The 25877-nt window shown below is 46.2% G+C and overlaps 1 long non-coding RNA gene across 1 annotated transcript, besides 26 other annotated features; it reads right to left on the minus strand.

Annotated features, from left to right (window-relative positions):
- Positions 1275-1368: a silencer, noted in NCBI's record as "NBS1 sequence used in the reporter construct". NCBI's record gives its function as "represses activity of a thymidine kinase promoter in transfected HEK293 cells {active_cell/tissue: HEK293}" and the evidence as "EXISTENCE:reporter gene assay evidence [ECO:0000049][PMID:24418414]".
- Positions 1306-1311: a transcriptional cis regulatory region, noted in NCBI's record as "core NKX3.1 binding region of the NBS1 element that results in loss of repression when mutated". NCBI's record gives its function as "necessary for NKX3.1-mediated repressive activity of the NBS1 element in transfected HEK293 cells {active_cell/tissue: HEK293}" and the evidence as "EXISTENCE:site-directed mutagenesis evidence [ECO:0005528][PMID:24418414]".
- Positions 2282-2341: a silencer, noted in NCBI's record as "NBS2 sequence used in the reporter construct". NCBI's record gives its function as "represses activity of a thymidine kinase promoter in transfected HEK293 cells {active_cell/tissue: HEK293}" and the evidence as "EXISTENCE:reporter gene assay evidence [ECO:0000049][PMID:24418414]".
- Positions 9632-9705: a silencer, noted in NCBI's record as "NBS4 sequence used in the reporter construct". NCBI's record gives its function as "represses activity of a thymidine kinase promoter in transfected HEK293 cells {active_cell/tissue: HEK293}" and the evidence as "EXISTENCE:reporter gene assay evidence [ECO:0000049][PMID:24418414]".
- Positions 9691-9696: a transcriptional cis regulatory region, noted in NCBI's record as "core NKX3.1 binding region of the NBS4 element that results in loss of repression when mutated". NCBI's record gives its function as "necessary for NKX3.1-mediated repressive activity of the NBS4 element in transfected HEK293 cells {active_cell/tissue: HEK293}" and the evidence as "EXISTENCE:site-directed mutagenesis evidence [ECO:0005528][PMID:24418414]".
- Positions 9936-13275: an enhancer, noted in NCBI's record as "E1 fragment used in the pGL3-Promoter-E1 construct". NCBI's record gives its function as "dihydrotestosterone (DHT)-responsive activation of an SV40 promoter in transfected LNCaP and VCaP prostate cancer cells {active_cell/tissue: LNCaP | VCaP}" and the evidence as "EXISTENCE:reporter gene assay evidence [ECO:0000049][PMID:31405024]".
- Positions 10346-13222: a transcriptional cis regulatory region, noted in NCBI's record as "range of sgRNAs used for CRISPR/Cas-mediated deletion of the E1 enhancer". NCBI's record gives its function as "positively regulates transcription of TMPRSS2 and PCSEAT in LNCaP prostate cancer cells {active_cell/tissue: LNCaP}" and the evidence as "EXISTENCE:deletion mutation evidence [ECO:0005510][PMID:31405024]".
- Positions 11931-12950: an enhancer, noted in NCBI's record as "fragment A used in the reporter construct". NCBI's record gives its function as "dihydrotestosterone (DHT)-responsive activation of an SV40 promoter in transfected LNCaP prostate cancer cells {active_cell/tissue: LNCaP}" and the evidence as "EXISTENCE:reporter gene assay evidence [ECO:0000049][PMID:17679089]".
- Positions 11986-12165: an enhancer, noted in NCBI's record as "active region_18482". NCBI's record gives its function as "activates an Ori minimal core promoter by ATAC-STARR-seq in GM12878 lymphoblastoid cells {active_cell/tissue: GM12878}" and the evidence as "EXISTENCE:reporter gene assay evidence [ECO:0000049][PMID:35858748]".
- Positions 12226-12873: an enhancer, noted in NCBI's record as "B39 fragment used in the reporter construct". NCBI's record gives its function as "dihydrotestosterone (DHT)-responsive activation of an SV40 promoter in transfected LNCaP prostate cancer cells {active_cell/tissue: LNCaP}" and the evidence as "EXISTENCE:reporter gene assay evidence [ECO:0000049][PMID:17679089]".
- Positions 12355-12772: an enhancer, noted in NCBI's record as "-13 kb ARBS fragment used in the pGL3 promoter construct and deleted in the delta-13-kbARBS-TMPRSS2-Luc-BAC construct". NCBI's record gives its function as "androgen-responsive activation of a minimal E1A TATA-box promoter in transiently transfected LNCaP and VCaP prostate cancer cells, and a TMPRSS2 promoter in stably transfected LNCaP cells {active_cell/tissue: LNCaP(+R1881 androgen) | VCaP(+R1881 androgen)}" and the evidence as "EXISTENCE:reporter gene assay evidence [ECO:0000049][PMID:24109594]".
- Positions 12537-12641: a transcriptional cis regulatory region, noted in NCBI's record as "ARE region deleted in the B39 Mt construct". NCBI's record gives its function as "necessary for androgen-responsive activity of the B39 enhancer in transfected LNCaP prostate cancer cells {active_cell/tissue: LNCaP(+DHT)}" and the evidence as "EXISTENCE:reporter gene assay evidence [ECO:0000049][PMID:17679089]".
- Positions 12582-12588: a transcriptional cis regulatory region, noted in NCBI's record as "GATA region deleted in the B39 GATA Mt-Luc construct". NCBI's record gives its function as "important for androgen-responsive activity of the B39 enhancer in transfected LNCaP prostate cancer cells {active_cell/tissue: LNCaP(+DHT)}" and the evidence as "EXISTENCE:reporter gene assay evidence [ECO:0000049][PMID:17679089]".
- Positions 12643-12690: a protein binding site, noted in NCBI's record as "FP probe". NCBI's record gives its function as "binds multiple GATA sites in VCaP prostate cancer cells and contributes to androgen-responsive activity of the -13 kb ARBS enhancer in LNCaP and VCaP cells {active_cell/tissue: VCaP}" and the evidence as "EXISTENCE:protein binding evidence [ECO:0000024][PMID:24109594]".
- Positions 12643-12690: a protein binding site, noted in NCBI's record as "FP probe". NCBI's record gives its function as "binds Oct1 in VCaP prostate cancer cells {active_cell/tissue: VCaP}" and the evidence as "EXISTENCE:protein binding evidence [ECO:0000024][PMID:24109594]".
- Positions 12660-12674: a transcriptional cis regulatory region, noted in NCBI's record as "Oct region deleted in the B39 Oct Mt-Luc construct". NCBI's record gives its function as "important for androgen-responsive activity of the B39 enhancer in transfected LNCaP prostate cancer cells {active_cell/tissue: LNCaP(+DHT)}" and the evidence as "EXISTENCE:reporter gene assay evidence [ECO:0000049][PMID:17679089]".
- Position 12663: a transcriptional cis regulatory region, noted in NCBI's record as "single base mutated in the GATA2 A mut construct". NCBI's record gives its function as "important for androgen-responsive activity of the -13 kb ARBS enhancer in transiently transfected LNCaP and VCaP prostate cancer cells {active_cell/tissue: LNCaP(+R1881 androgen) | VCaP(+R1881 androgen)}" and the evidence as "EXISTENCE:site-directed mutagenesis evidence [ECO:0005528][PMID:24109594]".
- Position 12672: a transcriptional cis regulatory region, noted in NCBI's record as "single base mutated in the GATA2 B mut construct". NCBI's record gives its function as "important for androgen-responsive activity of the -13 kb ARBS enhancer in transiently transfected LNCaP and VCaP prostate cancer cells {active_cell/tissue: LNCaP(+R1881 androgen) | VCaP(+R1881 androgen)}" and the evidence as "EXISTENCE:site-directed mutagenesis evidence [ECO:0005528][PMID:24109594]".
- Positions 12676-12698: a transcriptional cis regulatory region, noted in NCBI's record as "TM-ARE2 sequence that was quadrupled in the pGL3 reporter construct". NCBI's record gives its function as "androgen-responsive activation of reporter gene expression when four copies are used in transiently transfected LNCaP and VCaP prostate cancer cells {active_cell/tissue: LNCaP(+R1881 androgen) | VCaP(+R1881 androgen)}" and the evidence as "EXISTENCE:reporter gene assay evidence [ECO:0000049][PMID:24109594]".
- Positions 12676-12698: a protein binding site, noted in NCBI's record as "TM-ARE2 probe". NCBI's record gives its function as "binds AR in VCaP prostate cancer cells and necessary for androgen-responsive activity of the -13 kb ARBS enhancer in LNCaP and VCaP cells {active_cell/tissue: VCaP}" and the evidence as "EXISTENCE:protein binding evidence [ECO:0000024][PMID:24109594]".
- Positions 12684-12690: a transcriptional cis regulatory region, noted in NCBI's record as "range of TM-ARE2 bases mutated in the TM-ARE2 mut construct". NCBI's record gives its function as "necessary for androgen-responsive activity of the -13 kb ARBS enhancer in transiently transfected LNCaP and VCaP prostate cancer cells {active_cell/tissue: LNCaP(+R1881 androgen) | VCaP(+R1881 androgen)}" and the evidence as "EXISTENCE:site-directed mutagenesis evidence [ECO:0005528][PMID:24109594]".
- Position 12690: a transcriptional cis regulatory region, noted in NCBI's record as "single nucleotide polymorphism with presence of the variant A allele in the rs8134378 pGL3 and TMPRSS2-Luc-BAC rs8134378 reporter constructs". NCBI's record gives its function as "major G allele necessary for androgen-responsive activity of the -13 kb ARBS enhancer in transiently transfected VCaP cells, and in stably transfected LNCaP cells {active_cell/tissue: LNCaP(+R1881 androgen) | VCaP(+R1881 androgen)}" and the evidence as "EXISTENCE:reporter gene assay evidence [ECO:0000049][PMID:24109594]".
- Positions 16282-18284: an enhancer, noted in NCBI's record as "E2 fragment used in the pGL3-Promoter-E2 construct". NCBI's record gives its function as "activates an SV40 promoter in transfected LNCaP and VCaP prostate cancer cells {active_cell/tissue: LNCaP | VCaP}" and the evidence as "EXISTENCE:reporter gene assay evidence [ECO:0000049][PMID:31405024]".
- Positions 16844-18272: a transcriptional cis regulatory region, noted in NCBI's record as "range of sgRNAs used for CRISPR/Cas-mediated deletion of the E2 enhancer". NCBI's record gives its function as "positively regulates transcription of TMPRSS2 and PCSEAT in LNCaP prostate cancer cells {active_cell/tissue: LNCaP}" and the evidence as "EXISTENCE:deletion mutation evidence [ECO:0005510][PMID:31405024]".
- Positions 17152-17643: an enhancer, noted in NCBI's record as "-17 kb ARBS fragment used in the pGL3 promoter construct". NCBI's record gives its function as "activates a minimal E1A TATA-box promoter in a non-androgen-dependent manner in transiently transfected LNCaP and VCaP prostate cancer cells {active_cell/tissue: LNCaP | VCaP}" and the evidence as "EXISTENCE:reporter gene assay evidence [ECO:0000049][PMID:24109594]".
- Positions 19981-22354: an enhancer, noted in NCBI's record as "E3 fragment used in the pGL3-Promoter-E3 construct". NCBI's record gives its function as "activates an SV40 promoter in transfected LNCaP and VCaP prostate cancer cells {active_cell/tissue: LNCaP | VCaP}" and the evidence as "EXISTENCE:reporter gene assay evidence [ECO:0000049][PMID:31405024]".
- LOC124905021 (uncharacterized) lies at positions 20650-21977 on the minus strand. The gene is made up of 2 exons (XR_007067870.1): positions 21844-21977; positions 20650-21077 (listed from the first exon to the last, which is right to left on the minus strand). It is a non-coding gene; the product is annotated as an uncharacterized LOC124905021 (long non-coding RNA).

Genomic DNA, 25877 nt, shown 5'->3' on the forward strand with positions numbered 1-25877 from the left:
CGTTCACCAGACACCTCCTCTCCTCACGCTCCCCTCACTCCTCCACCGCTCCCCAGAAGCCTCAAACCCCCATTTCTTTCTGTCACTCAGAGTGACAGATAAGCCTCAATCATCGGGCTGCTGCACCTTTTTTTTTTCGTGTGTTTTTTTTTCCCCCAGAAGGGGTCTCACTCTGTTGCCCAGGTTGGAGTGCAGTGGCTCAATCATGGCTCATGGCAGCTTCAACCTCCCAGGGCACAAGTAATCCTCCCACCTCAGCCTCCCGAGTAGCTGGGACTAGAGGCGTGTGCCACCACGCCCAGCTAATTTAATTTTTTGTAGAGATGGGGGTCTCCCTATGTTGCCCAGACTGGTCTCCAATCTGGGCTCAAGCGATCCACCTGCCTTGGCCTCCCAAAGTGCTGGGATTACAGGTGTGAGCCCTCGCACTGGACCCCTCACTCACCTGGCCTGTTCTTTAAGTCTCATATTCTTGTGGGATTCCCATCTGTGAGTACATACATTAAAACAGCTTTTCTCCTGTTCATCTATTTGATGCCAATTTAATTTGTAGACTAGCTGAACGAACTAGAAGGGTAGAGGGGAAGCATGTTTTCTCCTCCCCTGCATAATATACAAATCAACATGATTTGCTTTAAAATGAGGTGGAAGCAGAAAAAAGCCCCATTCAGTCCCATCCCAGGCTGCCTTGGCTCACTGCTCCCTTCCTGGGAAGCTCTCCCGGAAGCCTCCTGTGGGGCAGGACTTTCCTAGTAAACCCTTCCCTCTCACTCCCTCCTTTGGCACCTTTTGTGGTCTGCTGGTGGCACCCACAACAGGGATTGTCCCCAATATGCCCCAGCCCTCCCCATCCCCCACACTGCCCTGCGCTCTGCCCCAGTGGGAAACCCTCAAAGACCCTCTCCAGCACATAGGGCAGGTGCAGTTGTCTTTCAGCGGCAACTCACTTATTTCTGTCTTGACAGTGTGTTTGGTGCCTACTAATTCCACCCAGAAACCAGGGAGTAAGTGCTGCCGCAGACTCAGGCCTCTTGGAGTGGTTGTTCATTCACCATTTATTTTTCCTTTTATATTAATAATCAGGGTTCTCCAGAGAAACAGAAACAATAGGAGAAATACAAATATATACACACATATACATATGCACACACATGTATATACACACATCTATATTTCTATATATTATTTATAAATATTATAAATATCTTATATATTATAAATACATATAAATATATACATAAACATGTATTTTATATGCATAATATAATACAGATATGATATATATTATACACAGCTTATATGTAATAAATATTATTTATAATATATATAAAGATTTACTATAAGAAATTGACTCATACAATTATGGAGGGTGAGAAGCTCTACAATCTGCCATCTACAGACTGGAGACCCAGGAAAGCTGGTGTTGTAGCTTTCAAAGTCCTGAGAGCCAGAGAACTAGAGAGCAGATGGAACAGATTCCAGTCCAGGTCTGAAGGCCTGAGAACCAGGAGTGCTGAGGGCAGGAGAGGATCAAAGTCCAGCTCACACAGTCAGGCAGAGAGCAAATTCAACCTTCCTCCCCTTTTCTGTTCTATTCAGGCTCTCAACCGATTGCCCAAATTGAAGGCAATCAGCATTACACAGTCTTTTCAAACATTAATCTCTTCCAAAAACACCCTCACACGCAGACACCCAGAAATAATGTTTAACCAGTTACCTGGGCATCCCATGACCAAGTCAGCTTGACACATAAAATTAACCATGGCTGGATGCAGTGGCTCCCACCTGTAATCCCACCATTTAGAAGGCTGAAGTGGGAGGATCTCTTGAGCCCAGGAGTTTGAGACTAGCCTGGACACCATAGCAAGATCCTGCCTCTACAAAAAGTTTATTAAAAATTAGCCAAGTGTGGTGGTGCGCACCCGTAGCCCAAGGTACTTGGGAGGCTAAAGTGAGAGGATCAGTTGAGCCCAGGAGTTTGAGGCTGCAGTGAGCTTTGATTGTGCCACTGTACTCCAGCTTGTATGACAGAATGTGACCTTAGTTTTATCTAAGCATGAATATATATGCCACCATAAGTTGACCCCTTGTCGACTTCACACCTACACATCTCCTTACACCATACTTTATCTCTAAAGACAATAGCAAAGTAATAATTTTGCCTAATGTGATAAAACTCTTCTGCATACAACCAAAAAATGCACTAAGCCCTTCCCCAGAAGTGGATGTAAAATTCTCCAGTGTTTACACTTCTCCTTGGTATTCCATAACTTAAATACCATAATGTAAAATTAACAATACTTAATACAATGATATAAAGTCAATATGCCTTAAGTTATGTAATAAAGGAATATGAGAGAAAAGACAACAGAGATATATACTGTATATACAAATATGTGCACAAATGTATTTAGAAAAAAATAATGAGAAAATACTCGTGACAATCTAATGCTTTATAACAGGTTGCATGGGCAATAGCTGGTGTTTGTAACTGTCTTCTTCCACTACCCACTCTGCGTTCCCTCTGCCTTCGGGAAGCATGACAGCTGGTCATGGTTCTTAACCTGATGGAGTGATACAAACCTTCATTCCTCAAGGGTCTGGGCCATTAATAGCCCTGCCTGGATTGTGTTGTAGTTTTCCATTGACCTTAATCACAAGCATGGTAAAACTAAAAGATGCCCTAAGGAATCGTTGTATTCCAGACACACTCTTCCTTACCTTCCTGGTGGAGTAGAAGTAGTCTATAGCTTCTCCTTGGTAGTCCAGATGGGTCTCCCCAGCCAATGCATAACTCTCTCTTTGCCTTTTGATTCAGAGGCATGTGGAGCTCAGCGTGGCCAGGTGGCAGTCGTAAATTCTAGTTTAATTGAATCATTGTTGTGTCTCCTGGTGGCAGCATTCCTCCCTCCGGAACTAAGACCTCTAGGTCAGCAGAGCGTAAAGTCACAGAAACAGCAAGCGAAAATTTTGCTAGTGGGCCACTTGGAGTAATAGTGCGTGGTGCCACTCCCATTTCCACCCCTTGATTCCTGGACCAGTGAATCCTGGCTATGGGAGAAACAGCACCGCATATTGGATGCTGATTTGGAGCATACACAGCTTTCTGGAGAACCTTGCCCCAGCCTGCAGAGCATTGTCCCCTAGCCAGCACTGTAACTGCATCTTCAAAAGGCGATTCCACTATTCTATCAAGTCAGCTGCTTCATGGGGGTGGGGAATATGGGAAGATCAGTCGATTCCATGAGCATAAGCCCATTGCCATGCTTCTTTGAGAAGTCAGTTCCTTGGTCAAAAGCAATGCTATGTGGAATACCATGATGGTGGATGAGGCATTCTGTGAGTTCCACCAGAAGCGCTGTGTGCAGGGAAGACAAATCTGTATCCAGACTGCCTATTCCAGTAAGGACAAAATGCTGCCCCTTCCATACTGAAGGTGGTCCAATGTAATCCACCTGACACCAGGTTGCTGCCTGATCATCTGGGGAACCGTGCCATATCAGAGCCTTGGTGCTGGTCTCTGCTGCTGGCAGATGGGCACTCAGTTGTGGCTGTAGCCAGTTTGGCCTTGTTCAGTAGGAGTCCATGTTGCTGAGCCCATGCATAATCTCCATCCCTGCCACCGAGGCCACTTTGTCCATGAGCCCATTGGGTGATGACAGGAGTGGCTGGGGAAAGGCTGACTGGTATCTACAGAATGGGTCATCTCATCCACTTGATTTTTTTGTTTGTTTTTGGAGACGGAGTCTCACTCTGTCACCCAGGCTGGAGTGCAGTGGCACAATCTCGGCTCACTGCAACCTCCGCCTCCCAGGTTCAAGTGATTCTCCTGTCTCAGCCTCCTGAGTAGCTGGGATTACGGGCACCTGCTGCCATGCTCAGCTAATTTTTTGTATTATAGTAGAGACGGGGTTTCACTGTGTTGCCAAGGCTGGTCTCGAACTTCTGAGCTCAGGCAATCCACCCCGGCCCCACTTTATGACTAAAGTCTTCTCCTGGCCGGGTGCAGTGGCTCACACCTGTAATCCCAGCACTTTGGGAGTCCAAGGTCGGTGGATCACAAGGTCAGGAGTTCAAGACCAGCCTGACTGACATGGTGAAACCCCGTCTCTACTAAAAATACAAAAATTAGCCAGGCATGGTGGCACGTGCCTATAATCCCAGTTACTCGGGAGGCTGAGCCGGAAGAATCACTTGAACCTGCGAGGTGGAGGTTGCAGTGAGCTGAGATCATGCCATTGCACTCCAGCCTGGGCGATAGAGCAAGACTCCATCTCAAAAAAAAAAAAAAAGTCCTCTCCTGCTGAGGTCATCCTTTGGTGGCCATTCACATGGGACAGAAATATCCTCACATCCTTTGCCCACTCAGAGAAGTCTGTCTACATACCTCTGTCCCAAATTTACCACCAATTTTCCTATCATGTTTCTTCCAAGTCCCTGACTATCCAGCCACAACATTGATTACAGCCCATGAATCCATATATAATTGCATGTCTGGCCATTTCTCCTTCGAAGCAAAGTGCACAAGCAGGTGCACTGCCCTACGTTCTTCCCACTGGGAAGATTTCCCTTCACCACAATCCTACTGGGGTGTCCCAGAAAAGGGCTGTGGTGCTGCAGCTGGGTACTTCTGGGTGGTGCCAGCACATGGTGCTGAACCGTCTGTAAACCAGGCCTGGGTCTTCTCTTTCTCTGTCACCTGATCATAGGGAACTTCCCATGTGGCCATGGGTGCAGGCAGGGGGGCAGAGAAGGCAGTGTAGCAGGAGTGGAGACCATGAACATTGGGTCACTTCTTTATGTAATCTACTTAAGCTTTCAGGACCTGATCAGGCCTGACCACATATAGACACTTCCATTTGACGATGGAGTGCTGCTGTGCATCCTCAGCTTTATGACGTGGTGGGGCAGGTAACATCCAGTCCACGACGGGAGCTCAGGTCACATGGTAACTTGTTGGCCCATGGTCAAGTCTTCCATCTCTACTAAGGCCTGGTAGCTGGCTAAGAGCTATTTCTCAAAAGGAAAGTATTTATCTGTGGAGGATGGCAAGGCTTTGCTTCAAATCCTCAGGGCCTGTGCTACAATTCACCTCCAGGGCCTGCAAACAGCTCCATATCACATCTCTCTCTGTCACTGAAACTTCAGGCACCATTGGATCTGCTGGGTCCTATGGCCCAGGTGTCAGAGCAGCTTGCACAGCAGCCTGGCGTGTTGTAAAGCCTTTTCCTGTTCTGGGGCCCACTCAAAACTAGCATCTTTTCAGGTCACTCAGTAAGTGGCCCAGAGTAACACATCCAACTGTGTTGCCTCCAAAATCCAAAGACGCCCTCTAAGCATTGTGCCTCTGTTTTGGTTGTAGGAGGGGCCGGATGCAGCAACTTATCCTTCACCTTAGAAAAGGCAACTCAATAGGCCCCACACCACTGGACCCCTAGAAATTTCACTAAGGTAGAAGGCCCCTGAAATTTTTCAGATTTATTTCCCACCCTCTGACATGCAAACATCTTACCAATAAATCTAGAGTAGTTGCTACTTCTCACTCACTAGGGCCAATCACCATAATGTCATCAGGGTAATACACCATTCAATACCTTGTGGAAAAGAAATGCAATGAAGTTCCCTGCAAACAAAATCATGGCATAGGACTGGAGAGATGATAGACCCTTGAGGTAGGACAGCGAAGGCGTATTGCCAGCCTTGCCAGCTGAAAGCCAACTGCTTCTGGTGGGTCTCATGGACAGGAAAATGGTGTTTGCCAGGTGAACAGCTGCATGCCAGGTACCAGTAGATGTGTTCATTGGCTCAAACTGATACAGCAGCTGCCATTGGAGTCACCAGCTGGTTAAGCCTACAATAATCCACTGTCATTTTCCAAGATCCATCTGTCTTCTGCACAGGCCAAACAGGAGGGTTGAATGGGGATGTGGTGGGAATCACCACACTTGTGTCTTTCAGGTTCTTGATGGTGGCACTAATCTCTGCAATCCCTGCAGGGATGCAATATTGTTTTAGATTTACTATTTTCCTAGGTAGAGGCAGTTCTGGTGACTTCCACTTGGTGTTTCCAGCTATGATGGCCCTCATTCCATGAGTCGAGGACCCAAATGGGGATTCTGCCAGCTGCTGTGGATATCTATTCCAATTATGCATCTGGAACAAGGAAATAACCATAGGATGGGTTTGAGAACCAATGGACCCACTGTAAGCTGGACATGGGCTAAAACTCCTTTCATCACCTGTCCTCCATAAGCCCCTACTCTGATTGAAGGGCCACACAGACATTTTTAGTCTCCTGGAATCAATGCCAGTTTAGACGCAGTGTCCAGTCATCTCCAAAAGGTCTGATTCTTACCTTTCCCACAATGCACAGTCACTCTGGTAAAAGGCCAGAGGTCCCTTTCCTTTGGGAAAGGATGGGAGAAAGGCTAACAGGATCCATTTTCAATAGTGTCCTGGGATCCTTCCTCAAGGGGACCCAGTCTTCCCTTCACTCAAAGGGTTCTGGGTTGTAAACTGGCTCAAGCCTGGGAATTGATTGAGGGGCATGAGTCTCCGTTTTGATGATTCAGGTTAGGCCTGCTCACTTGCCCTAGAACTTGTCTGCTCATACAAATCAAGTAAGGGTTTAGTAGGCTTCCCATCTAGTTCATGTCTCAAGACACCATGAATAGTTCATGCCATAGATCCACATGAGTCGGACTATTCTGATTTTTGTTTTATACCCACTGTCCATTAGAGTAACCATGCCCACCTTGCCTTTGGCAGTTGAGTGCTTCCACTTGGCCCCTGCTACCTTGGGATCCATCTACTCTTATTGCACTGAGGTTTCCCAATTTAGTGATTGCATTTCTCACGTAAAGTCTGGCCTAGACCAAAGAGTAATCACAGAGCTCTTTACGATGCTGAGGCTCCTCTTACAAACTTATTTATCAAAGTACTGGTGAAAAGTAAGATACACTGGCCCCTCCCACAGTGGGTAAGCAGGTGTTAAATAACAAATCCACCCTCACATTTCAATCTTCCTAAGTATTTGAATCCTTTTCTCTATGTTAAACCAAGGCAAGTCCAGCATTTCCAGTTCGCTGGCTGTGGGTCACCTTTTGATCCATGTTTCAGCCAACCGACCAAACTGTTAGAGCCCTCTCTAACTCCCTGAGCTGCAACATTCACTGCAGAGTCCTTGCTTAACAAGCCCATTTCAATGAATTTGGTTTGATCCAAAGTTGTGTTCCTTCCACCATTATCCATACCTTTAATATCCATTTCCACACATGTTCCCTGGATTCCTGTTTGTATAAATTAGAAAACTCAAGTAGTTCTTTTGGAATGCAGCACATTTCTTTATGGGTCACACTTTGGACCTCACCTTTAGGAGCCTGTTATAACTTGAGTTTAGTTACAGGTCTAGAGCAAAGGGTGGTAGGATGGGTCCTCAGGGGAATCAGGATTGTTTAAAATTACCTGGCAGAATTGCAGAGAAAAAAACTAAAGAGGACTTCTAGAAGTAAAAAGCTGAAAGTTTTCGATAGCTGAAGATGGAATCAGTGACATGGAATATAGACCAGAAGAAATTATTCAAAATTCACCTAGGAAGACAAAGTTGTTTTTTTTTTTAATATGAGAAAAACTAAGTGGTATAGAAAATAGAGTAAAAAAATCTAAAATGTGTCTGATTAGTTTTTTGGAAAGTGATCATTGAGATAATAGGGCAGAATCAATATTTAAAATAATAAATAGTCAGGAATTTTCCAAAATTGATAAAAGTCAGAAAGTCTGAGATTATTGAAGCACAACAAATCCCAAGCAGAAAAAAAGAGGAACCTGTAGAAACACATCCTAGTGAAATTTCAGAATCCCTGAAGTGAAGAGAAGACCTAAAAAGCATTATGGGCCTGGCGTGATGGTGAACACCTGTAATCCCAGCTACTCAGGAGGCTGAGGCACAAGAATCACTTGAACCCAGGAGGCGGAGGCTACAATGAGCTGAGATCATGCCACTGCACTCCATCCTGGGCAACACGGCGATACTCCATCTTAAAATAAATAAATAAATAGAAATAAAAAGCATTATAAAACAAAAGACAACATCCAGATTGAAGCTAGAATATAGTGGAATAAAATATTTAAAGTCTTCAGGAAAAGTGGCTGTCAACATAGAATTTTGTTTGGTTGTTTGAGACAGAGTCTCGCTCTGTCACCCAGGCTCAAGTGCAGTGGCTTGATCTCAGCTCACTGCAGCCTCTGCCTCCTCGGTTCAAGGCATTCTCCTGCCTCAGCCTGCTTAGTAGCTGAGATTACAGGTGCCTGCCACCACGCCCGGCTTATTTTTGTATTTTTAGTGGAGACAGGGTTTCACCATATTGGCCAGGCTGGTCTCGAACTCCTGACCTCCATGATCTGCCCACCTCAGCCTCCCAAATGTTTGGATTACAGGCGTGAGCCACCACACCAGGCTACATAGAATTTTATATCCTGCAAAATATCCTTTGAGAGAGGGAAAATACATTTATAGGCAAAACAAAACAGTGTTGACCACAACAAAAAAACTTCTAAAGGATATTGCTCAGGAAGCAGGAAAATAATCCCAGGAGAAAGTCTGACATGCAAGAGAAAATGGTGAACCAATAAAATCCTGACAATGTGGGTAAATCTAAGCTAATATTTACAGCATAGAGAAACTCCAGTAGTAATATTTAACTTGTAAAAGAGCAACAACAAAAACAACACAAAGATGGAACTGAAGTATTGGAAAACCATACCATGAAAGCCAGTAGTGCGATGAACACAATTAAAGTGAACACAATTAAAGCCTTTTAATCATTGTATTCTTCTGGTGGAAAAAAGACTATATATATATATACATACATATATATATATATATACACACACACACATATATATATATATAATATGATTAGCATCCATACCCAAATAATTAAAAAATGGGATGAGAGGAGCGAGAAGGAGATGACTTAATGAAACCAAGCAAAATAAAGCAAAGAAGAATGCCTAAATCTGCAACTGCTCTGCCTTCCCCTGGATCTTCCATCAGCGCGTCTGATTCCAGGGCCAGGTGTGTATGTTCAAGATGATGAGCCCATGCCCCAGCCCCAACTTGACCCTCTTGTCACTGTTATAGGCAATGGTCTGGCCTTGTGGGCTCCAGCTCATGCTCATTGGTTCCAGCTTGTCCTTGTTCTTCCTCATTTTATAACCTCCTTCCCTTCCCAAATGCCATCAGATGCAAAGATAAGAGCCATTGAGAGACCTCTTAGTCAGATCCCACAGTTTGACCCAAAAGGCCAAATCCTCTAAGCAATCCCTTTTAAACACACACACACACACACACACACACACACAAACACGCACACACCACATCATTATAGCAAGTGGAACACAAAACCAAATGAGTGCTCAGCATGGAGGAACCTTGAGGACACTATGCTCAGTGAAATATGCCAGTTACAAAAAGACAAGTACTGTATGATTCCACTGATATGAGGTCCCTAGAGAAGTCCAAAGTAGTCATAAAGACGCAAAGTAGAATGGCAGGTGCCAGGGGCTAAGGGGCGAAGGTGAAGGGTTGGGAGTTAGTGTTTAATGGGTAGAGAATTTCAGTTTGGGAAGATGAGAACATTCTGAAAATAGATGGCGGTGAAAATAGATGATTGCATGACAGTGTGAATGTACTTAATGCCACTCACTGAAAAATGGTAAAATCATAAATTTTATGTTATGTATATTTTACCAAAATTTTAGAAATGAGTTACCATTTTATACACACCAAACTGGCAAAAATTAAAATTGCGCAATATTAGGTATGGCCAAAATTGGGGATCTGCTGGGGGCAGAGGGAATGAGATGAGCATATAAATTGATACAACCACTTTGAAAACCTTTTCAGCATCATGCTGTAATGTTGAAGATGTGAAAATCTTTCACCCGGAAATCCCGCTGCTAAGTATGCACCCTAAAGAAACTCTTGCAACACACCAAAAACCTTCACATGTTCAGAGAAGCACTATTTCTACTGCAAAACCTGGAGAAAAAGAAAACAAATACTGATAGGAAATTCTGTCAGTTCCTACTGACAAGAGGAAAGATAAATGTGCAGTGGTGTGTGCATGTGACACAATGCCCTCCAACAATGAAAGATGGTGAACTACCATTGTATCCATCACGGATAACTCTCAGAAGCAAAGTACTAGGCAAGAAAACCAGTTGCAGATCTCATTTGCATAAAGCTCATAAACAACCAAAGCTAAATTATGTATAGTTAGAAATATATGCCTAGATACTAAATCTGTGAAAAAGGGAAAGAAATTAATAAACATAAAATTCAGTAGGGTGATTTCCCCTAGTGGGAATGAATGGAGATTCAATGGGCGTGGGGGTACAAACTGGGGAACTGGGCAAAATAGTATTGGCAATAATCTGTTTCTTAACAGACATTTGACCAGGCATGGTGGCTCACGCCTGTAATCGCAGCACTTTGAGAGGCCAAGGCCGGTAGATTGCCTGAGGTCAGGAGTTCAAGACCAGCCAGGCCAACATAGTGAAACCCCGTTTCTACTAAAAATACAAAAAATTAGCTGGGCATGGTGATGGGTGCCTGTAATCCCAGCTACTTGGAAGGCTGAGGCCGGAGAATCGCTTGAACCCAGGAGGTGGGAGATTGCAGTGAGCCGAGATCACATCATTGCACTCCCACCTGGGCAACAAGAGTGAAACTCTGCCTCAAAAAAAAAAAAAGTGACATTTGATTCATCATTAATGGATTTTAAAATGTGTGTACCTGAAAAGGAATAATGCAGCTATTCATGATGTCAGCAATAAAACAATATTTGTCCCAGTGTTTGTCCCAGTGTCTGTACTTTAGTTTTGATGTGAACCAGCTCTAAGATTCCCACAAGTACTCGTAGTCAGAAGGCAAGACAGAGAATTCACGAGTTCCTTGTAAAGACAGGGTGTGTAGAATGCTATAGATGGAATGATCAGCACTTTTAAGAGCCAGGTGAAGCAAATCTCTGGTGTGCTGAGGACCTTTGGCCATGTCCTCAAGGGATGAATGAGATCCCTTGTTTAGAAAAACATAAAGACTGTCTTAGTCTGTTTCGTGCTGCTGTTACAGAATACCACAGACTGGGTAACTTATTAACAATAGAAGTTTATTAGGCTCATGGTTCTAGAGGCTGGGAAGTCCAAGACGAGGGGCTGCATCTGGCGAGGGTCTCCTTGCTGCATCATAACATGGCAGAAGGCATCACGAGGCGAGACAGCAAGAGCTGGAACACATAGCCTCAAACCCTCAAGCCCTCTAATCATCATTAATCCATTCCTAAGAGTTAAGCCTCATGACCTAAACACCTCCCATTAGGCCCCATCTCCCAATATTGTTCCATCAGGGATTACGTTTCCAACACATGCTTTTAGGGGGACACATTCATATCATAGCAAAGACTTTCATGGCTCTCTTCATACAACCACCAAGCTTTCAGCAAATTCTTCAGATGAATTCCAGATGCCAGTTGTTCAAACAAGGAAAAGGTTGTTTAATATTTGTTGTTTTTCATGGTTGAACCAAGTTATAAGGCTCAGCCCCAAGGCTCACTGTGTATGCTATAAAAACAATTACCTTTTACTGAATATTTGCTTTGCCAGTCACCACACTCGAGTTTACATTACCTCAGTGCAAGATGGACACACTGATTTCCCCTTTTTACAGCTGAGAATGCTGGGGTTCAGAGAGGGCACTTGACTTGGCTGCACCACACAGCCCCTAGGAGATGGGCAGCTGAGTTGGAATCAGGAGCTGGGGTTCCTGGGGTCAGGATTTGGGAAGGGAACCCTGTTTGTGGGGCTGTTCTGCTCCCATTCTGTCCCCAGGGGCCCCAAGTCCTGCAGGCTCTCTTAGCTCCAGAACCCAGAGGGAGGCAGTTGCAGGGGGAAGGGTGTTTGGAAGAGCATGGGGAGTGCAGCAGCAGCTGAGGGTGAGACACCTGGTCTGCTTCGTCTCCTGCTTCCCTGTCTGTAGGCCTCCTTCTCCTCCCACCTCACTGCTGTCAACTCCACGGGGAATCCCCTGTGTCTAGGATGGGTCACCAGCTGCTGAGAAGTCCTCTCACTGGGTAGGCAGGTCTTCTGGAGGTGGCTCTGGGGCCTCTGTCATAACTCTAACAGGTCCGAACACAGGCCATTCACAATGATGGGGAGACACAGGATCATTGCAATAAGAACTTCCCCCGTGAAAAAGGTGGGGAGGAGGCTTATATGTCACTCTGGGTGACAGAAAGGAATGGGGGTTTGAGGCCTCTGGGGAGCCCATTCTGGTCTCCTCCAGTCCTATTAAATCCTAGTGAATTTGGCCTCCTCCAGTCCTGTTAAATCCTGGCGAATTCTGAGCCCCCTACAATTGCAAACATTGAAAAGAGCCTCTGAAGTACCTGGGAAAAACCACGTCTTCCAGGCAGAGGTGTGGCCCACCACTTCCTCACCCCTGCCCTAGTTAGTGGTGCAGGGAGACATACGCCCCACAACAGAGTGCACTGTCCTCTGCCTTGCTGTGTGAAAAACTTTTTTTATCATCCAGGACCAACATTTTCATTACATTGTTGAATGTCAACATTTTTAGACAACAAATGGCCACCTGGTGAAGTGCAGATGCTAATCAGATATGAGTACCTGCCGTACCCTTTAAAGCTTTTAAGACATGCAGCACTAGCTCCAACAATAAGAGTTTATGATTAAACAAACTTCATTAAAGGTCAGCTTCCAGAATTACATTTCAAGCTCACATCCTGGGCTTTTTGAAAAAGCACCATTTTGAATGAAAGGCTGTATATGTCAAAGATGGGTGAAGTGTCACAAGGCTTTTTTAAAAAGGGCCTACAAGATAAGATCAGTGCCCCAAATCCTTCCCAGAAAGGCAGCACCTGCTTTCCATGGTTGAAAAAGTTATTCAAAGACCCTTGTTAAAGATGGAAAGGTGGACTACTCAGGACCATCGCAATAGGTCCAGGCACCATGGCAATGGGACTTTCTGGGGTGGGAGAGATTGGGCTCCACTCTAACTACAGCCCAGGCAAGTGGGGACTGATAGCCCAGGAGCAGAGTGGGGTCCGTGGATAGAAAATCACTAAGGGGAAACATCAGGGGTGAGGGGGATTCTGGCTAAACTGCCCTTGCTGAGAACAGGCTGAGGTGATCAAACATCATCCGAGGGATGGTGGAGGGTGAGGAACCCCATCAGATATCGAGGGTGGAGTTCTCATCAAACTGACTTAACAGGGTTCTTTGCTGGAGCTGGATTTTAGAAGGAAGTGCACATATGGGCCCTAAGAAAAGCTCAGGAGCTTGACTAAAGTTCCATCAAGCAGAGAATCTTTTTTTTTTAATTTTCATTTTTATTTTAAGTTCTGGGGTACCTGTGCAGGATGTGAAGATTTGTTACATAGGTAAATGTGTCATGGTGGTTTGCCGCACCTGTCAATCTACCACCTAGGTATTAAGCCCAGCATGCATTAGCTATTTATCCTGATGCTCTCCCTCCCCACATCCCACCTCACAACAGGCCCCAGTGTGTGTTGTTCCTCTCCCTGTGTCCATGTGTTCTCATTGTCCAGCTCCCACTTATAAGTGAGAACATGCAGTATTTGGTTTTCTCTTCCTGCATCAGTTTGCTAAGGATAATGGCTTCCAGCTCCATCTATGTCCCTGCAAAGGACATGATCTTGTTCCTTTTTATGGCTGCATAGTATTCCATGGTGTATATGTGTCACATTTTCTTTATCCAGTCTGTCATTGATGGGCATTTGGGTTGATTCCATGTCTTTGCTATTGTGAATAGTGCTGCAATGAACGTACACGTGCATGTATCTTTGTTATAGAATGACTGATATTCCTTTGGGTTTATACCCAGTAATGGGATTGCTGGGTTAAATCAAGCAGAGCATCTTTGTCATCATCTCGTCCCTTGGGAGTTCTCCACGGCCTGGGAGTTCCCTGCACTAGGAAGGGATGAGGAAAGGCAGCCAGGGGCTCCAGTGTGGGGCAGAGGGAGCTTGGAGGAGCCGCTTCTCCCTCCCCAGGACAGGAGCCCTGGTACCTGGCTCTGCCTGTGGCATGGGGCAGGGCAGTCCCATAGCAGTGGGGAGGGGATGGCCAGGGTGGAGGCCAAGGGAGGGCAGGCACCAGCAATCTGAACACCCTCTGTTATCCACCTCGGCTGGGGCCCATTTTGAAGAGGGTGTGCAAGATTTCATCTGCAAAATGGAGGCTGCTGCTTTCAAAGGTTTGAAAGTCCCTGCTGTTTGAGGAGAAGGCAGGGATAGATGAGACCCTGGAGGCATCGCAGACTCATCCAAAGAGCTTAGTTTGACCTCAGGGCAAGGGCATCCTGCAAGGGTTCAAGAGGGGAGTGACTTCCTTCCTCAATGTATGGATGTTGAATGTGCACCTCTGATTTCTCCTGCCCCCTCCCATCTTCTGCCCACCCCAGCCAGGTCCAGAGTAGGAAGGGGCACATGCCTGTGTTCTGGGGGATAAGACGTCAGTGTGGTTGGAAGCCCAGGAAACTAGTTTTAAAGCTTCATTTGCATAGAAAATAATCTACCTCTCCTATATTTTTAACATTTTACTAAAATTTGTTTCTAAATGAGTAGTACAGTTTTTATTATGTGTTTCAGAACACATTACCTACTGTCTGTCAAGAGAAAATAAAGTATATCTGTTGCCAAATGCAATTTTATTTCCAGAAAGGTGGCTCTGATAGAATGGACCTCACTGAAGCCCTCCCCTAAGGCTAGGACTTTGCCCTCCTCCACTCCCACCCAACAAAGAGGAGTCTCTTCAGGGGTGAAGATAATCAGGATCATATTTTTTTTCATTGCTTTGAAAAGGAGAAAAGTGAGAAACATTATTCCACTTAGAATAAGTTTTTGAAGACCTAAAATTCAAGGTTTTGTTCACAAGTCTTTTTTTTTTTTTTTTTTTTTTTTTTTTTTTTTGAGACGGAGTCTTGCTCTGTTGCACAGGCTGGAGTGCAGTGGCGCGATCTCAGCTCACTGCAAGCTCCGCCTCCCAGGCTCAAGCCATTCTCCTGCCTCAGCCTCCCGAGTAGCTGGGACTACAGGCGCCTGCCACCACGCCAGGCTAATTTTTTGTATTTTTAGTATAGACGGGGTTTCACCGTGTTAGCCAGGATGGTCTCAATCTCCTTGTGATCCGGCCGCCTCGGCCTCCCAAAGTGCTGGGATTACAGGCGTGAGCCATTGCGCCCGGCCGTTCACAAGTCTTTATAATCATAAAATAAGCTTTTTGATCCTTGTACATTTCTTTTTTCCAGCTAAAATACATGCAAGTAACTTTTTAAAAATAGGTTAAGCCGGCTGGGCGTGGTGGCTCACGCCTGTAATCCCAGCACTTTGGGAGGCCGAGGCAGGAGGATCACGAGGTCAGGAGATCGAGACCATCCTGGCTAACATGGTGAAACCCCATCTCTACTAAAAATACAAAAAAATTAGCCCGGTGTGGTGGCGGGCGCCTGTAGTCCCAGCTACTCGGGAGGCTGAGGCAGGAGAATGGCTTGAACCTGGGAGGCGGAGCTTGCAGTGAGCCGAGATTGTGCCACTGCACTCCAGCCTGGGGAACAGAGCAAGACTCCGTCTCAAAAAAAAATAATAATAATAAGTTAAGCCAACCGGGCAATCTCGGATGCTCCCACGGTGCTCACGCTTAAACGCCTTTGAGGCTCTGGGTCACTCTGGGGCTACCAAAGCCTTGACGGCCAGGCACTGCTTCTGCTGCTGCACTTACCCAGCCCCTGCCCCTTCCATCTCCTCCCAGTCCCAAAACCCCGCTGCCCAGTCAGAGAGTCCACTTAGGGAACTGCACCTGTTTTCTGTTTGTTTTGTTTTTTCCTGAAAATGGCTGGCCCAAAGGAAGGCTCATAAAACCCTTGAATCTCTGTGTTTGCAGAGAAACAAATATGAAGTGTAGCTAAAGAGGGACTGAGCAAAGGGTCCGTGAAACACGCAGATCCATAGGGATGGGGGCGACAAGCTTCCGTGCTGAACAGGAGCGACCCTGGGGTGGCTGCCCGTCGCAGATGGCTAGGTCACTCCTCTTTCATTTCTTCAGGGACAAAGAAGCACTACACTGTGAGCCTGCTGTTATCACTCCCAACATCTGGTCAGGAAGCAAACCAACTGATCAAGGAGCAACATAGTTCATCCTACTTGAGCACCTCTACTTCCAGATTTTGGGATATGTAACATGCTGAGAACAAGTTAATTATCTATGCACATATATGTGTATGTGTGTATGCATGTGTATACACATACGTGTACAAACAGGCATATATACAGTATGTATACATAAATATAAATATAGTTAAATATATATTTATATTTATAAATATATAGTTAAAGATTCAAATACACAAGTGCCCATTTTTCCCATTGGTTTTTGGAAACTGTAGCTGCTTTAGCCAATCTGTCCTTTAAGAAACAAGAACTTCGGCCAGGTGCAGTGGCTCAGGCCTGTAATCCTAACACTTATGGGGGGCCAAAGTGGGTTGATCACTTGAGGTCAGGAGCTTGAGACCAGCCTGGCCAACATGGTGACACCCTGTCTACTAAAAATACAAAAATTAGCCAAGCATGGTGGTACACACCTGTAATCCCAGCTACTCGGGAGGCTGAGGGAGGAGAATCCTTAAACCTTGCAGGCAGAGGTTGCAGTGAGCAGAGATTGCGCCACTGCACTCCAGCCTGGGTGACAGAGTGAGACTCTGTCTCAAAAAAAAAAAAAACAAAACCAGAAATGAAAGCTTAAACCACCTGTGCCTCACACCGCAAACAGCTCCCTGTGTAATTAAGGAGAGACTTTGCTCTTCCACCGTTTCCATTCACGTGACTGGCAAAGTCGTTCCAGGAGACTCCAGCCCCAGTAAATGGAATGGGGCAAATTTCTCATGGAAACCTCCAGAAAGACCCATCAGCTCTTCAATGGAAAGCAGCAACTTTGTGCTCTAAGATTCTTTGAATCTCTCACTTAAACCCCTTGCCTGGCTGTTTCCACCAAGCTTGGGCTGGTGCAACATGGTCCACACTCACTCCTCATCAACCCCTCGACCCCTCGACCCCTCGACAGGGAATGTTCCACTTTATCCCAACTCCAATCTTCAGGGGGTTCCAACCTTGCCCTCCTGCCTCCCAGGCACTGCGTGGCTTCCGTTATCACCGTGACTAATAAGCTCATTTTGTGTTGGTGTGTTAGGGATCTGGAGAGCCTATATCTGCCAATAACCAATGTCATATGTAAATATACAGTGATAAACTACTCAATAAAACTAACAAAGAAAATAAAACTGGCTATGTTCCTGGTTGTAAAAGTCTTCCAATCATGGGAACAAAATGTCTGCTGTAAAATAGTAAAGAATTCTACTATAAAAAGAAAGCGGGGCGTGGGGAAGGTACTTCCTTCTTTACCTACTCTGTCCTTCAAAAATCACCTGCAACCCCTTAGGCTAATGGCAGTTTGAAAATTGTTTTAATATCTGAGATCCTAAAAAAATGGTCAAGAATTTCAAGATTCCTGCACAAGTTTGAGTTAGAGCTTTTAGATGATGAGGTCGTCACAGGTGACAGGAGGTCACAGGCGACAGGAGGTCACAGGCATGTGTGTAGTGATTATGCTCGCCTCCTGGGTGTCACCCAGCCCCGTGTGTGAGATGCACGTGGAAGGCGAAAGCACCTGTGCTCAGCGCCTGTGAGCTGGCTCAGCCAGGCCTTTAACTGCTCGCTGGAACACTGATTCCTGGTCACCCCAGGCAGCACACTGGGAGGGACTGGAGCTTACCCCCAGGGTGGACTGTAGGTGCTGGGGTAGGGGTGAGGATACCCACCTGCCCAAAGGATAAGGAAGATGCACCAAATCATGCAGGGTGGAGCGTATCAGCTCCAGGGACCCCTTAGGTCAGAGCACAGATTTGCCTTTCACGGTACCTGTAACTACTTCTGTAATCTCATACACAGATTGCTCAGCTTCCCTGAGAATTAGTTGCTTTATCCATAAAATAGGCATAATAACGTATTGCTGGGTCATGAAGAATTAAATTAACCAATGAATAGAGAGAGACTTGTGGACTACAAAGAGCTGGGCAAATACAAGGTATATTTTCCAAGAAGTAGATAATTCAGGTAACTTGCAAAGCAGCCTAGGGCTGGACTGGGCTGGACAGAGACACCCATACCTAGGGTTGCCATGTGTAGTTGTTCAGGTTGTATACGGTACAAACGTAGGGATGACTTTCACATTTGTAGTCATGAAGGATATGTATATTTAACATGACATTTTCCTGCGGATGCCTTAAAATGTCTTATGGAAAGGATGATGTATTCATATTCATAAGAAAACGTTGAACAAACTCATGGTGAGGTTATCTGTCCATGCCCTATTTTGTAAGATGAAAGAAATTAAACCTTAAGGCTGAACTCTCTTCTACGTGGGTTGCAACACTGAATCACAGTTTTGTATCTTAATTGTTCTTTGACTTACATATACAGCTGGAGGGCAGAAATAAAAGCATCAGCTTTTAAAAATGCATCAATCAACTTTAGATTGATCCAGAACAAAGCTGTCAGTTGATTGTAGTGGGCCAAACCAGGTACGATGTGTCTTACTAGAAACACAGAAGTTTACAAACATTTGAACTGACATCTTAAAACTAGGAGACTTCACATAAAATTCAGCTTTCCAGCTTCTCTTTAAAACATGGAAGACCTGGCTCACTGGGCCACCTTTTAGAGGAGCAGGAAGGAGCTCCTCAGCCCTGCGGGCATCTGAGTGGCAGCCCTGCAGGCAACTGAAATTCCACTGTCCTAAGCTGTTCCAGGAGGCGCTGGGGTCCGGTCAACCCCCGAAGCCCAGCAGCGAGCTCCAGAGACCCCGTCTCCCCACAGAATGGAGGTCAGAAGCTGCCGCCAAGCACATGAAACATCTTGGCTTCCCTCTGTGCACTCTCTCCGCTTCCTAACTTCCCTAGCTTAGAAACAATGAGGAAAACGCTGGGCGCAGTGGCTCACGCCTGTAATCCCAGCACTTTGGGAGGCCGAGGTTGGTGGATCACCTGAGATCAGGAGTTCGAGACCAGCCTGGCCAACATGGTGAAACCCCATCTCTACTAAAAATACAAAAATTATCTGGTTGTGGTGGTGGGCGCTTGTAATCCCAGCTGCTCGGGAGGCTGAGGCAGGAGAATCACTTGAACCCGGGAGGCAGAAGTTGCAGTGAGCCGAGATCATACCATTGCACTCCAGCCTGGGTGATGGAGAGAGACTCTGTCTCAAAAAAAAAGAAAAAGAAAAAGAAAAGAAACAATGAGGAAAACGATGGAGGCCCCACACCTGCACCCCCTGCATCTGCTCTGCAGGATGGCTGCACACATTTACTGCCCACCTGTGCTGGGAAGTTCAAAGAGAGCAGAACATGCAGCTTCCTGAAGCTTGTGTCCCAGCAGGGAAGGCACAAACTAACACATAATGAATGTGCAGTGCCAGTGCCAAAAAAAAAAAAAAATGTAAAGCCAGGATAAGAGGCCAGCCTGACCATCGAAGGGGCTCCATCTCCGGCAGGAGTCTGGGAGGGTGTCCATACGCAGGAGAAGCAGCAGGTGCCTCTGCTGGGGGAGGAGCCTTCATGAGGGCAGTGAGAGTGCATTATGGAAGGCCCTGAACACTGCAGGAAGGATTCAGAATTGTATTCTGGATGGCTGGGACCAGAGAAATCACATACCCTGGTTAACACTTCAGAAGAAACAGTCTGCTCTTTGCTGTGTTACATTTTTTTTTTAGTAGAGATGGGGTTTCACCATGTTGGCCAGGCTGGTCTTGAACACCTGACCTTAAGTGATCCGCCCACCTTGGCCTTCCAAAGTGCTGGGATTACAGGCGTGAGCCACCGCACCCGGCCTATCTGCTGTGTTACAAACGACGTGCCAGGAGCAGTGCCAAGGAGGGGAGATCCTAGAAGAAGGCTTGTACAATAGTGCTCAAGACATCCTAGAGCGGGGAGTGGGAATGGAGGACTAGCAAATGGAATGTGGGGACTGAGGGGAACTGGGCAGTCAGAGGTGACCCCAGGGATTTTAGTCTGAACAGCTGAAGGAATGGAGCCGCCACTGACGGAGATGGGGAAAGCGGATGTGCAAGATGACATCAAGAACTTGGCCTTGGACACGTTCAACTTGAGGTGCTAATTAAACTGGGAAGAGCAGGTGGTGGCAGGCAGTTGGAGTTGAGGGGATGGAGATGTGAACTTGGGGGGCGCCAGCAGGGAAGTGCTACTTGGAGCCGGGGCCCAGAGGAGCTCCCCAGGGAGGGAGGGTCAGCCGGTGGACAGAGCTCTGGGGCTGCCTGTGAGAGGCAGAATGGGGGGATTCCAGGAAAGATATGAATGAGCAAGAAGCTGTGAAAACAATTTCTGTCCACCTGAAAAATGTACACGGCACAGACGTGGAAGGAAAGGAATGAGGATGATATTAAAGTATTAAAATCCCACGTACTTGAGACAGTAACGATAAATAAAAATAAACCCAGTGTTGCCAGGGATGTGAGAAATAAAAGCATTATTTTGTTGCCAGAGGGGCACTGAAAATAGATTTAATGTAGTCGAGAGCAGGCACCAACTATGCGGCAGGAGTTACGAAACTCTGTCCCCAGAAATATTCTCTAAGTGGGGAGGTGGCAAGTTCAAAAAGAAACAAATGATAACAGCCTTCTCAAAGCTCTGAAAGCAGCGCTCTCACACTGGGCAAAGGCGGACCTCACCTCAATGCCCTGTAGCAGGGGACCCCTAAGCACGCAGAGGCTGGGTCTCACTCAGCAGGTGGGTGTCTCAGTCCGCAGGTGCAGCGGAGCCAGTGGCCTTTGGTCCTACAGCTCAGCAGAACTCTGACTCCCAGCTCCCATGCCACCCAGGTGGCCAAGGAAAAGCTGGAAAGATGCACGGGTCACTCTCTCCAGCTCCCACCTCCTTCTCCTGAGAAATAAAATCCACAGCCAGCTCCAGTCTGCCTGAGGGAGAGAAAAGGGAAAAACAAAAGAAAAATACATAAATTAATATCCAAAAATAACTGGGCACATACAAAACCACTACTAATGTCACAGCATAGGACCAGACAGGATCATAGGCCATGATCTTGCCTATAGCATGAGATTAAGCAAAATAATAGAATTAATAATAATAATAAAGTATTTGTTGTTCTAGATGAAGTGACTGACAAGGCTGTTGCCCCAAAAGTTGAAAGTAATGACATAATTACTTTCTGACAATAAAACTGCAAAGGCAGCTCACACAGGATCAGAGCATAGGTATTCAAGGTCATGTTTAAAAGATAAAAATAGCTTAATGCCAGTGAGATCTTATCTTCATGAATCAAAAGTACGGCATACAACTAAACATACAAACAAAAACAGAAGAATGTGCCACTAACGAGCAGGGTTGGCTGGCCACAGGAGTTTACAAAATGCCATCACGGGGATCAGTGCTAGTCGGGCCTGCTGTCAGTGAGGGAAAGGGGACCCAGATGGGAAGCAGGGGTCTCCTGGCCAGGGAGGCTGTGATTAGAGACAGAAGCACCTCATATAAGGGACAGAATGCTCAAGGTTCTGGTCAGAACAATCACATGTGTGTGTGTATGCGTGTGCGTGTGTGTGTGTGTATGTGTGTGTGTTGGGGGTGTATAGGTAATATCTCCAGTGATTCTCAAATGTCATTCCATATAAGAGTTATTGAGAAAGCCAGACTTTTTAAAAAAAAATGCAAATTTCCAGGCCTTACCTCCAACGGGGCAGGTGTTCTTGGGGGTTGAGGTGAAGCTAAGGTCGGTGGTCCAGACCCCACTTGCTCCCCTCCCAGTGGTCTCTGGGCTTGGGGACCGTGAGACTGTCCTCTTTTTGCCTCTGGTGGGCTGAGAAGTCAGATCTCAGCCTGGAAGAGTGAGAAGCAGCTCTGCATTGTGACTTCTAGGGGGCATCCCCTGTTGTCTATGACAGCCTTACCTAGGGGGTGGGCCCAGGCCACCCCTCCCTACACACCCAGCCCTAGGTGCCTCTGCCTGAAGGTCACCCGCTGTGAGATGGTCTGTGAGCCCCCTGTACCCTCTTCTTTTGCTTCCATTGTTGATAAATACATAAAAACACAGCCATGTGTCAACAAAAAAAGTGAAACGCTATAAAATATTTGAAGAATTTTATTCTGAGCCAAATCTGAGTGACCATGGCCCATGACACAGCCCTCAGGAGGTCCTGAGAACATATGTCCAAGGTGGTTGGGGTGCAGTCTGGTTTTATACATTTTAGGGAGGCATGAGACATCAATCAAATGCATTTAAGAAATACATTGGTTTGGTCTAGAAAGGCAGGACAACTCAAAATTGGGGGGGTGGGGGATGGGTGGAGTGTGCTTCCAGGCTATAGGTGAATTTACACTTCTTTTTTTTTTTTTGAGACGGAGTTTTGCTCTTGTTGCCCAGGCTGGAGTGCAATGGCATGATCTCAGCTCACGGCAACCTCCACCTCCCAGGGTCAAGCGATTCTCCTGCCTCAGCCTCCCATGTAGCTGGGATTACAGGCATGCACCACCACGCCGGGCTAATTTTGTGTTTTTAGTAGAGATGGGGTTTCTCCATGTTGGTCAGGCTGGTCTCAAACTCCTGACCTCAGGTGATCCGCCCACCTTGGCCTCCAAAAGTGCTGAGATTACAGGTGTGAGCCACTGCGCCTGGCCAAATTAAACATTTTCTGGTTGACAACTGGTTGTGTTTGTCTAAAGACCTGGGATCCATAGAAAGGAAATGCTCAGGTTAAGATAAAAGACTGTGGAGACCAGGGTTCTTCCAAAGTCTCACAGTGGCTGCCCTTAGAGACAATCAATGACAAATGCTTCCTGTTCAGACCTTTAAAAGGTGCTAGGCTCTTAATCTTTTCAGGATTGTGAGGGCCTGGAAGAAACAAGATCTAGCTGTGTTAATAGAGATTCTTTACAGACGCAAATTTTTTCCCACAAGGGACATCTTTGCAGGGCATTTCAAAATATGGCCAAGAAACACGTTTCAGGGTAAAATACTTTGATTTTCTTATTTGTCACATAATGTTATGCCAGAGTCAGATTGGAAAGTCAGTCACGATATATAGGGTTAAATAAAACCCATCTGACGAAAATTTATGGTTTGTAGGAAATGACTTCCCAGACCCCTTAGATAGGAATTTGGGCAAGATAAAAAATCAGAGTTTAGTCCTTAGTTCACCAAAGATGAAGAGTTTATAATTTAATGGTACATTTCCTTTCTTAAGTCATCTGAGTTAGATTGGCTGTAAAAATAACCTTACACCACTGGCTATTGGCTCCTTCTCTTCTTAGACCTGGACACAGTGCCCGATGTCCAAGGCTGAAAAGGTTTAGAAACAGGACTTTAAGGTAAGACAGGGATTCCAGTGACAGCTACTGAGTCCGCTGAAATGCAGGGAGGGGTCCTGGGCTTCTCAGAACCCCACCTAGATTTGGAAGGAACCTCTCTGAGGGGTGCACATCCATGGACAAACTCCCGGGGCGCCTGGGGACTGACTTCCCCCAGACACATCTGTCTTTCTCTCCTGCTGTTGCTAGGAAGCTGTAGGCATCCCGGAGTCTAGGCCCTGCCACTCTTAATCCAGAGGTGAAAAATAAAGAGGGTGTCCATGCTGCCACCGGGGAAGAAAGTCTTGGTCATTTCCTCAGTATCTTCTCTACCATCAGGGAAAAAATATCACCTCTTTCATTAGGAAAGACCCTGGAATCTGCCTCTGCTTCTAAACATTACGGTTTATTTTATTTTATTTTATTTTTGCATAGTGCATGCACCCAGAGCTTACTGTCTTCCTGGATTTCTGTTTTGTTTTGTTTTTGTTTTTTTTGTTTTTGAGACAGAGTCTCACTCTGTCGGCCAGGCTACCGTGTAATGGCACTATCTCAGCTCGCTACAGCCTTCATCTCCCGGGCTCAAGCAATTCTCCTGCCTCAGCCTCCTGAATAGCTGGAATTACAGGTGTGTGCCACCATGTCCGGCTAATGTTTGTATTTTTAGTGGAGATGGGGTTTCGCCATGTTGACCAGGCTGGTCTCGAACTCCTAACTCAGGTGATCCACCCAGCTCGGTCTCCCACAGTGCTGGGATTACAGGCAGGAGCCACTGCACTTGGCCCTTCCTGGATTTCTTGTATTACTTTTAATAATAATAATTTAAAAAAACACAGGAAAAGAAACGATGTATTCCAGCCCTGTCCTTTGCTTCATGGCTGTTACACTGACACTGTGATTGTAAGCTTGAATTTCGGGTCGTAGGCAATTTTCTGACAAAGCCCCCCACTTCTCCCTCAGCCACTGCCCCTGCACCGCCCTCAGCATGAAGCTTAAAAGGGAGAGAATATAGATCCCACCCCAAGGGCAAAGAGTCAACGGGTCCACATCCACAAGTCCTGAGCACTCTTGCATTTATTTCACAAGTCAGTGAAAGCCAATGGGATGTCCCTTTCCGATGCTGCATGGGAGCAATGAGAAGCAGCCAGAGAGGCATCACCTGACCAGGCGGCTGGCTGGCATAGGGGGGTGGCTGTGGCCAGCTGGAGGGGGCTGCTGGGCATGGTGGGGGTGAGGGGCAGAGGACAGCACCTGAAGGATGCTTGGAGAAGGGATGGGGAGCAGAATCCATCAGGGCGCTCCCAGCTCAGTAGCAGGGACTGTGCTGGCTGCTGGGGTATAAGGTAGTAGGAGAGCAGGGAGAAATGCAGTCAGTGACCAGGAGGATTTCTGGTAATCAACGCCACAGTTCTTTACTTGGGAGACAGTTTTGTTGGGGATAAAAGCTCCTGGAGTCCAGACACTATAACCCCCTTGACACCTCTTGATTCCAGGAATTCACTCTGTGCTTGGGACGATTATGTGCTCTATAAAGAGGGACTGGCTGACCAGTGTGTTCTGCTCAAGTTGGTTACAACATTGATTTTGACATCAGACAAGTGGTCTTAACCCTTAGAACCGTCATTCCTGAGATGTGTAGTCTAGAAAAGTTGCTTAAATTCCCTAAGCCTCAGTTACCTCATCCATGAGATGGGACAAAGACTGTGTATGCTGTAGGTTGATTGAAAAGACGAAAGCCACGAGGTACCTAAGGCACCAGCATGGTGCTCACTGGATTCTGAGGAAGCACAGCCTCTCCTTGTCATACTTGGGCAGCATCTGACAATGGTCAAAATTCTTTCACGTGTGTTTTTCAGACCCCAGGTCAACCCCAAGATAAAGAGACAAAGAAAAAGTGTTTCTACTTTTAGAGAATACCCGTGATGATAGCTTGATGTAAAACCAAGGGGTGGGAGAGAATGGAACCAGCTGGAGGAATTAAAATGCCAAGGGCCAGGACTTAGGAAAGAAGCCTGTGGCTCGATCCTGAGCATTTCTGTCTGTTTTTTTTCCCTAAACCTTTGTGTTTTTTTAGAGACAGAGTCTTGCTCTGTCCACCCAGGCTAGATGCAGTGGAGCGATCATAGCTCACTGCAGCCTCGAACTCCTGGGCTTAAGTGATCCTCCCACCTCAGCCTCCTGAGTAGCTGGGACTATGGGCACGCACCACCACACCCAGCTAGGTTTTTTAAAATTATTTTTTGTAGAGACAGGGTCTTGCTATGTTCCTCAGGCTGTTCTTGAACTCCTGGGCTCAAACAATCCTCCTGCCTCAGCTTCCCAAAGTGCTGGGATTACAGGTGTGAGCCACTGCACCCAGCCCTGTTTCTAAATTTTAAACTCATTGGCCAGACACGGTGGCTCACGCCTATAATCCC

The sequence above is a fragment of the Homo sapiens genome, chromosome 21, assembly GCF_000001405.40.
Source record: "Homo sapiens chromosome 21, GRCh38.p14 Primary Assembly".
NCBI lineage: Eukaryota > Metazoa > Chordata > Mammalia > Primates > Hominidae > Homo > Homo sapiens.